This window comes from Homo sapiens, chromosome 15, assembly GCF_000001405.40.
Source record: "Homo sapiens chromosome 15, GRCh38.p14 Primary Assembly".
In the NCBI taxonomy this organism is placed as follows: Eukaryota; Metazoa; Chordata; class Mammalia; order Primates; family Hominidae; genus Homo; species Homo sapiens.
Window position 1 is genome coordinate 53,306,812 of NC_000015.10, and position 10,029 is coordinate 53,316,840.

At 42.1% G+C, this 10,029-nt stretch overlaps 2 annotated features.

Annotated features, from left to right (window-relative positions):
* Positions 735-1,934: an enhancer, noted in NCBI's record as "MED14-independent group 3 enhancer chr15:53599743-53600942 (GRCh37/hg19 assembly coordinates)". NCBI's record gives its function as "activates an origin of replication core promoter dependent on BRD2, BRD4, P300/CBP and CDK7 cofactors, and independent of MED14, by STARR-seq in HCT116 cells {active_cell/tissue: HCT116}" and the evidence as "EXISTENCE:reporter gene assay evidence [ECO:0000049][PMID:35650434]".
* Positions 5,832-6,562: an enhancer, noted in NCBI's record as "OCT4-NANOG hESC enhancer chr15:53604840-53605570 (GRCh37/hg19 assembly coordinates)". NCBI's record gives its function as "activates a minimal SCP1, AML or CMV promoter by ChIP-STARR-seq in naive and primed H9 embryonic stem cells {active_cell/tissue: H9 hESC(naive and primed)}" and the evidence as "EXISTENCE:reporter gene assay evidence [ECO:0000049][PMID:30033119]".

Genomic DNA, 10,029 nt, shown 5'->3' on the forward strand with positions numbered 1-10,029 from the left:
TCGCCTCTTCAAACTTGACCTGAGACAATTTGGGTGACAGCATCTTGGCAGTCTTAGAGCTTTTTGTAAAGTGTAATGTGCAATGCAATCATTCACATTGTGGCTATTCTTCTATTTTACCCTTCCATGTTAGTTTGCTCATCTATCCCTCATTGCTCTTGATATCAATAGCTGGACCAATTTCTTCCAGGAGAAGAAGGCCCCACTCACATGCATGGCCGTTCCAGGCCTGAAAGGGGAATATGCAAGTGTCTGTGTGGATGTGTGCATGTGCACTTCTGTCATGGGTCACAGGAATTAGCCATTGATTAAATGAAATATTAAGAATGAAATTACTAGCTACAGTTATTGAGAGCCTACCATAAGGCAGGCACCATACAAGGCTTTTTGCATGTGTGATCTTTAATCCTCACAACTGCTCTTGGGGTTACATAGCGTTCCTGGCCTATAGGAAGAAATGGAGCTTGGAGAGGTTCAACAACTTGCCTAAGCTCAAATAGGTGGTGAGCAGCAGAGCTCAGATTCAAGGCTTGGGCACAGAAGCCCAAGCTCTTTCCATGTCACTGAGCCTCTGCTTCCAACAGCTGATGTGTCCCGACATTCTCTGTCTCCTACCAGGTAAGGAGGATATCTGAAAGTAAACTTGTGTTTCTCTAAGCTTTCTTTTGGGATAAAATACTTTTCAGAAATTGAAATAATTTTATTTTGGAAACCTGGGGTGGGGCTGGAACTCTCTCTGTGCAATAAAATTATAATGACAATAGTAGTAGTTACCATTTTTGAGAGATTATCATGTATTACCCTGTGAGGGAGTTAACTATTATCATCCCCATTTCAGTCCACCTCTGAACTGAATCACAGAAAAAATGAGAATTTTGCCCAAGGTCACGTGGATACTAGTGGCAGATCCAGCATGGCCAGCAAGACCATCTGCAGCCACAGCACACGTTGAGCAAGGGGTGGGGGGTACTGAGGAGCTGAAGTGAACCCCAGCTCTGCAGGTGATCATCCACATTAGCGCAGCTCCACATTAAGCTCCTGGGCCTCAGTTGGAGTCTCATCTGTAAAACAGGTGGTGTCTCTCTGACTTTCCCAGGGGATGGGGGAGTAGAGAGATTTGCCAAAGCCAGAAGATAGATTCTTCTCCCCTTGCAAACTTGCTTTTGAGGGTAAGATTTGTTCTCCTGGAGCACTTTGGTCTGGAAATGCCCCTGAGTAAAACCCAAAAAAGGGGAAACCAGGAATTCTCTATTTTGGAATCACTCTAGATTTGAAGAAAGAAAAGAGCAAAAAGGATCCTCTTGTTTGCTTCTAGGTTTTGATGAGTCACACTGACTCAACAAACCTGGCACTCATATTTTCAGATCAGAGGTTTCATTGAGGATGGGAGTGGGGTGATTTTTCAAAATTAATTGGCTATTTTAAATTTACAAATAAACATTGTATGTTTATCTTGTACAACATGATGTTCTGAAATACTTAGAAACCATGAAATGGCAAAATCAAGCTAATTAACAGATGCATTGGGGTGGCGGGTGGGGCGGTGCATTTTCCCAGAGCAACCACTAGTCTTGTATTTTGGAATCTGTTGTTCTCAAAGCTCCCCACTGGGATGGCTGAGTCAAAACAAGCAAGGACAAGACCATCTTTGCTTTCCGTGCGTCGACTCAGACTTTCAACCAACAAGATCCCCCTGAGTAGCTCCTAGCATGAGCATCTGAGAATGCTCAGGCAGCAGCTGCTCCAGGAACTCACCAGCACTGTTGTAAGCTATGCAGCTTGTGCCAGCTTTTTCTATCCCCAAATGAAAGACCCTCCTATGGCCACAAGGCAAGGAGGCGCAGGTGGCAAAGGATCTGATGTTCTTTGTAGCTGCACCACTAGGGCCTGGTTCAGGGTCTGTCTCACAATGACAGCTCGCGAATGCTGCTAACTCACTCTGTCGCTTTGGACGCTTGACCTCTCAAAGACATTTTCCCTGCCTAAAAGGTTATCATTTCAAGTACAAAATGAGACCATTTTTATAAACGAGCTTTGTAAACTCCAAAGTATTATATAAATGTAAAGGAAGTAAAAAAACACATTTTTTATAATCACTTCTCAAATATACTCATACAGGCAAACTGGCCTGGCTCCCTGGCAACAGGGTACAGCATCATGAGGGCTGAGAAATCCTCCTTCATAGGGCATTTTTGAGGAGTGAATAATACACTGGAAAGTGTAGAGCACTGGTTAAAGAGGACTTTGTAGTAGCGGCCCCGTAACCCACACAAGCCCCATAATTTCTGCACTGGTTTCTAAACAATTCAAGAAATTTCCTCAGTCAGTGAACCTACTTTGGTTGTCACTTTCACTATTCAACAAATGTTTCCATCTCCTGCTTTTGGGGCATATGAGATAATTGCATTTCTCTGCCCCTCCTCGAAATCGAGGTGTCCTTGTGTGCTGGGAATTCTCTGGGCCCCTGAGGTACATTCCCACTCTTCTCCACCGCCCCATACATGGGAGGCTGATCCTTATAGGCTGCATATTCAAGGCACTTTAAGGATTTTGTCACTGTATTAGGCCATTTTTACACTTCTATAAAGAAATATCTGAGACTGGGTAATTTATAAAGAATGTTTAATAGGTTCATAATTTTGCAGACTGTACAGGAAGCATCGTGCTGGCACCTGCTCAGCTTCAGGGGAGGCCCCAGGAAACTTACAATCATGGTGGAAGGTGAAGGGGGAAGAAGCACATCACATGGCCAGAGCAGGAGCAAGAGAGCAAGAGGGGAGATGTCACATGCTTTTAAACAACCAGATCTCCAGAGAACTCATTCACCATCATGAGAACAGTTCCAGGCGGATGGTGCTAAACGATTCATGAGAGATCCGCCCCCATGATCTAATCACCTCCCACCAGGCCCCACCTCCAACATCAGGGGTTATATTTCAATATGAAATTTGGATAGAGATACACATCCAAACTCTATCAGTCACCATCTAACCCAGATGTTAGAATGAGCTGTTTCCTCTTTCAAGATTCAGATGAAATTATCTTACCCCCAGATTTATGAATTGTTTTGCTGTCCTGAATGGGCCATCATTATTTCATATCTTTGTCTCTTAGATATGGAAGTCATCCATTGCTTTTATCTATGCCCACTCCACAATCCACAATCATAAGGAAGGCCTTTGGTTTATGTCTTTACTGTTTGGAGGAGAACCAGAAGGTTTACATCACTGATGGACAAGCAGTTTAGAATTGAATATCAGATATTCTTATACTGATTATTGTCCCTCTGTTCTTTCCACCAATTCAGACTTCAGTCGTTCATGAACCTGTACTTGTTCACACTTTTCTTTCCTTTGCTTCTCCTTCCAAAACCAGCTCTGGACCTCCCTTTGCATAACCAATGATTTGTTAGCACTCTGCTAGACGGTGGGGCTTATTCTCTGGGTCTCACTCCTTCTTCCTCCTCTACTTGTTTCCACAGTGGGCGGGAGCTGCACAGTTGCATCCACATTGCATGGATTATGTCAGCTTACCCTCACATCTTTCTCTACAGCCCCATCCATCCCTAGTCACTTTCAGAATACAAAAGCAGGCACAGCCAATGTCGGATTTAAATACCTCCCACCCTCCAAACATACTCTCCACACACACCCTCCGCATCCCAGTTTGCATTGCCTTTCTTTGCTTCTTCTCACCGTGGGTATGGAAAAGCCTTGAAGGCACTGACTAAGCAGAAAAAGGGGGCCCAGGAGTCCTGGCTGTAGTGAAGACCATAGGCCATTAGGGCTAAATCAGGGCAGTTGCTGACCACAAAGGGGTTTGGGAACTAGAGCCCACTTGATACCCAGCTGCTGTCAGCTGCTGGGCTAATTCTCTGAGAAGAAATACCTAGTGCTTTACATGGGTATTCACAGCTTTGGAAGTTCTACATCCTGGCCATCTCTTCATTCCATTCTACAACAAAATATAAACTATCAAAACAAATTCCTCATCATTACTAGCAAATTAATACAAAGCATATGCCACACTTTGCTACCTCTGAATCTCTCCACTTTTCTGTCCTCCCCGCTGGTGCCATATTTCAGCACTCTGGCCAGGACCAGTATGCCTCCTGATGGGCCTGCCTGCCCTCTGCCTCTTCAGGTGCAATTGGGTCTACCTCTCCCTTGTGTTTTAGTTAAAAAAAAAATACTATCTTTGTGGACTTTAATAATAGAAGTAGTACTTGCTCACTGTAAAAAATACAGACAATAAATATTTAGAAAGAAAAAGTGGAAGTCCTCCAGACCCTACTCTAATCACTCCCTAGAGATAGCCACAGTTAATAGTTATATTGTATCCTTTCATGCATGTTCCTATGTACATATAAACACATACAAAGATATAAATGCATGCACACATACACACACACATGCTCGCTTTGGTACATATTATTCTGCAACTTGATCTTCTTAACAATATATGGAGAGATTGCTCCATGTCGATACAAATCAGCCTACCCTCTATTTTCAAAGGCTGTGAAATAGTTCATTTATTTTACGAATTTACTCATATTTGTTTAGCCAGTCCTATTGATGAACATTTAAATGTTTCACATTTTTGTTGTTACAGACTATGTGCTTCAATGAATAGTCTTTTAGGTATATCTATGTATATGTTCAAACATTTTTAAATGCTTGCTGACCATTGCTTTTAGATCTATAGCAGTTAAAAAGGTAGTGGCTGAGGTGGGAGGATCACCTGAGCCTAGGAGATTGAAGGTGCAGTGAGCCGTGATTATGCCACTGCACTCAAGCCTGGGTGACAGAGTGAGACCCTGTCTCAAGAAAAAAATAAATTTCTAAGCAATAAATATACAGCTTTTAAAAAATCAAATAGCACTGTTAGGTTTATGATGAAAATGCAGTCTCTTGCTCTCCCATGCCACATCCTCAGTTTCGTCTCTTCACATGGAACTTCTTTCAATTCTGTTACCCGTAGTGTGATCTCATTTTTTTCCTGTACAATTTATTATTTTCTCTGGAATTGTTGTGTTATTTGTTCATTTTCTTGATTTTCCATGTATATTTCACTTTTTCACCCTAAACTTATCAATAGAAATAAAAATCTTTTTATACTTTCAAACTCTTTGGTCATATCAACATTTCTTTTTCTTTTTCTCTTGGAGATATCTTCTATAGATTTTTGTCCTATCTTTCTTTTTTTTTTTTTTTTTTGAGATGGAATCTTGCTCTGTCACCTAGGCTGGAGTGCACTGGCATGATCTCAGCTCACTGTAACCTCCGCCTCCTGGGTTCTAGTGATTCTCCTACCTCAGCCTCCTGAGTAGCTGGGATTACAGATGCACGCCACCATGCCCAGCTAATTTTTGTATTTTTAGTAGAGACAGGGTTTTGTCATGTTGGCCAGGGTGGTCTTGAACTCTTGACCTTAGGTGATCCAACCACCTTGGCCTCCCCAAGTTCTGGGATTACAGGGGTGAGCCACTGTGCCCGGCCTTGTCCTATCTTTCTAATCAGGAATCCTTTTTTTTTCCCTTAGTATTGCCACATAATTGTCAGTTGTCATCTCGGAACTTCCATGCTTATCAACCTGGGTATTCTCTTTGCCTCTCTCCTGTGTTGAATTTTCTGTTTCTTTAGTTTTATGTCTTTCTTTCTTCGTATTTACTGCCATACAAAGCACCTGGCACAATATCTTTACAGAACAGCAGTGTATGCACTCAAGTATTTGTTGACTGACAGAATGAATAAACGTGTAATTGAATTAACATCTTACTGCTAGGCTAGACCATTGGTTGAGCCTCCAACAAAATAGCATATCTGCGTATTGGCTAAGAATTCTGTGAAATCTTCAGAGTGTAAACTTGAGACCCTGACAGCAATTAAGCACCTAGGTGTGAGCTGCATGGTCTAGCTTAGTGGTGGAATCCATGGCCATGGAAATGTATAAAGCTAGCTGGCAAACGTATAAAGCTAGCTGGCTTTTGCAGAAAGTCAGCCTCCTGCCCTTGGCCTCATTAACTCACTGCTCCATCCAACAGAGCCAACTAGCCACAGGCAAGCAGCTCCTGAAATAGCCTGGTAAGCTGACCTGCATATCACAGCCCCTGGCTTTTGGCCCTAATGAGGATTGCTATTGTCCTTGAATTTAGCTCGATTCTTCTCAGCAGGCTGCCCTTTCAGGACGTGTCTTATCAGCAGTCACTGCCCCAACAAGGTGAGGAGGGTTTTCTCTTCTCATAATGACTCTCTATGTGTTTTGTCCAGACCAATTTACTACTGCAACCCACCTTCACTCAGTGGAGCTTTGCTCTAAGCTCCAAAGGTTAAGGTCAAGCTTTCTTCAAAAGTCTTTCTTCCAAAACCTTAAATCATTTATTTGTTTGCCTTCCACTGCACCTTTTCAAGCTCAGTCAGCATTACCCTTTCTTTGCCCACAGTTCAGAATTATAGGGACCTCAAAGAACACAGGCTGTTGATGCCTTCTATTCCTTCTTTGACTCAGATTTTTACCAGAGCCAGCAGTCCTAAGTAAAAGCCACTCTGTTCTGGCTGCCACTGTGTATTTCATATATTTCAGAATTCCTGGTTGTAATGTGGGGATGGCTGCTGTTTTCATGGGATTACACAGTCGTGGAAACTCTTCAGTGGGTGGGGAAAGTGAGAGGGACCTTTAATAAGGGGATGAAAGGGCAGGCGGGGAGGCAGGAAGCTGCTCAGAGTGGGGGCTGCTTGAGGTACTTTTCTCTGCCATTTTCCAGGGTGGGAGATTTTCCCCTTAAAAATAACATGGGCTCATCCTTATCCAAGACCTACTTTGTGCTGATTCTACACGTATATGACCTCACTGAATTTCTACTATTAACCCACAAGATGGGAAACTGGGGCTTCAGAAGTTGGCCTTGCCCAAGGTTGCATAACTAGTGATTGGCCCACCTAGGATTTAAATTCATGCCTATCTCCAAAGGCCATGCTTATTGTCAAACAAAGCGGCAGGAGGACCAGAGACAAGAGGAAAAAAAAGGAAGAGAGCTAGGTCCTTCGGGTCCTGCAGCATCCTACCTCCCTGTGGTGGAACCAGGGATGCAGCACTCAGACCTCCCTTCTGGCAAGGGCTGGCTGTTCAGTTTCTGTAATGGGGTAAGCAGACAGCTTCTACCCGCAGTTCCTTCAAGTCAGCCTCGGCGTCAAAATATGAACCTCAGTGAGACACAAAGCCCAATATGAGACAGGTGCTAGGGCAACCAGTTGTCCTGCTTTGCCCAGGATGACAGGACGTACAGAATATGAGATCTTCAGTGCTAAAACAAGGAAAATCTGGCAACCCAGGAGAAGTTGGTCAATATATGACAACATTGATGGGCTATATTTACTTCACAACTTCCCACTGGGTTGGTAAGTCTTTGTCTGACCTCTTACCCTCACCACAGTCCTGTTTCTTTCTCTGTCTTATCTTGTTTTTTTCCCCTCCCTTCCATAGGTATCAACCCCTGATAAATACCATGCACATTAGATTCCAACTTTTCCTTCCAAGACAACTCCTGAAAACGTCCACAACCATAGAACTTCAATGTCCTGGAAGAATGCAGAAGAACCCCAACAATCAAGAACCCTAGGCAGAAAGGGCTATGGTATGTGGGAGAGAATAAGGGCAGAGAATCTGACATTTTCACTCTCAGACACAGAGACTATTCAACTGTAAAAGTCAACTGGTACACAGAGCCACGCTGATGATATTTTGACTTGTTAACGGAGAGAAGAGGAAATAGATTACAGGTAACCACAGACACCAGGAAGAGTGCAAGGAGTGATGGGCAACACCAAGTTGTGCAAACATTTATGCAAATATTTTCTCTTTTCTTGGCAGGGATGTTTTTGTCACCTTCTGGCCTCAGCTGCCTGGCTAGGCTCTTCCTACCTAGGCTTTTCTTTGTGGCTGCAATTTGATGAGAATAATATATAACTGATGGAAGGGCTCTCTAGGTGCAGTTTTCTTAGATTAAATATGGATTTTGGTGAAGATGTGCTTTTTCAGTTAAAAAAAAATCCTATTCCTAGAAATAAGCTTTGTCCTTAACTATAGGTCAGAGGTGATCCACCCGCTCTAGGAAAATCCACCTCCACATTTCAGTGTGGGCCATATATGCCCATCCTACTCAGGTGTGCATCAAGATGGAGCACACCACTTTACCACTTCTTGAAGTTTCCAAGGGAGAATGGTTTGGGACAGGTGTTTGTACAGGAAGATAGAAGGTAGTCGGAGAGTCATCTTCTCTGATAGTCATAGTCCTCTCTGTGTGACAGCTCTGCCACATCCACGTCGCATACTTCTTTACACTTCATCACACCTGTTCACACATAGGAGAATTGACGAATCAATTAACAGCATCCTGCTGGTGCTCACACATCACTTTGCATCAAATCAGCAATTCTTTTGATGGGGGCTGACGTTTACCATCCTTGTTGGAAACTTTCCAAGGCATGAATTAAAATACAACCAAACTTAACTATGAAATCATTGAGAGGATTGGTAAAGGCCACAAACATTTAAAGTTTCAAGTGGGAATGAAATCTGCTTGCTTATTTTAATGCGACATGATGTTGCACTGTGTGGAGTGCTAACTACCACTTGCGAGGCATTTGGGTTTGGGAAAAAAGGATTCCCTCTGAATTGAGTTCCATGAGAAACTCGTTAGAAAAATTATCCACATTAGAAAAATGTGGATAATATTCTATCACAATTTTTACCTGTAGGGTTGTTTAGGATCAAATGATATACTGTGTGTGAAAGCACTCTTGTCAAACAGCAAAGAGCCATGGCATACAATGTATTTTAGCATATTGCAATAATAATAAATAATAATAATAATACAAAACAGATAATCCAACAATAATAGATTGATGAAGAAACTCATTACAAAAACTGATAAATTTTTAAAAAACAGTAGTAATTGGCCATTATGGGTAGCACAGTCAGATAGAACTGTGCTTAGTCTATCTGACTGTGCTTAGGAAGTCTTAGGAAGATTTTTTTTTGGTAGAGGATGTTTCTTACCTAGATTTCAGATACCAAAAGCTTGACTGAAATAGTTATTTAGGAACCTGTTCTTAAAGACTGATGGCATGCTAGTGCTTCAAAATCCTTAGGGGAGTTTTCTTTTAACCCTTTGATTATGAAAAATGTCAAACACTCAAAGATAAAAGTTTACAGTAAGCACCCATATACTCACCACCTAGATTTTGCCATTAATATTTTACTATAGTTTGTTGACCACATCCACCATATTTATCCGTTTTTTTTTTTTGTTTTTTTTTTTTTGAGATGGAGTCATGCTCTGTTGCCCAGGCTGGAGTGCAATGGCATGATCTTGGCTCACTGCAAGGTCTGCCTCCCGGGTTCAAGCGATTCTCCTACCTCAGCCTCCTGAGTAGCTGGGATTACAGGTGCGCACCACAGCAGAGACAGGGTTTCACCATGTTCATCAGGCTGGTCTTGAACTCCTGATCTCGAGACCCGCCTGCCTTGGCCTCCCAAAGTGCTGGGATTACAGGTGTGAGCCATCATGCCTGGCCCATTTATCTCTTTTTTATCCACCAATCCGTCTTAATTTTTTATGCATTCCACAATAAGTTTCAGTAATCAGTATATTTCTTCCCAGAATAGAGAATCTAGAAATAGACCCATGTACATATGAGAAAATGATGTGTGACAAAGGCACAAAGCCCTTTTTCATTTATTAGGTTGGTGCAAAAGTGAAAGTAGAGAAAGGAAACTTTTCAACAGTGACGCTGGAACATTGGATATCTATATGCAAAAAAAAAAAAAAGCACTTCAATCTGTATCTTGCCACATGTAAAAATATCAACTTAAAATGAACCATTGCCCAACGTGTAAAACCTAAAACTAAAAGTCTCCTAAAGGAAAACAGGAGAAAGTCTTTGTGAACTTGGGTTAAGCAAAGATTTCTTAAAAATGACAACAACAGCACCACCTGTAAAATAACAAATTGATAAATAGGACTTCATA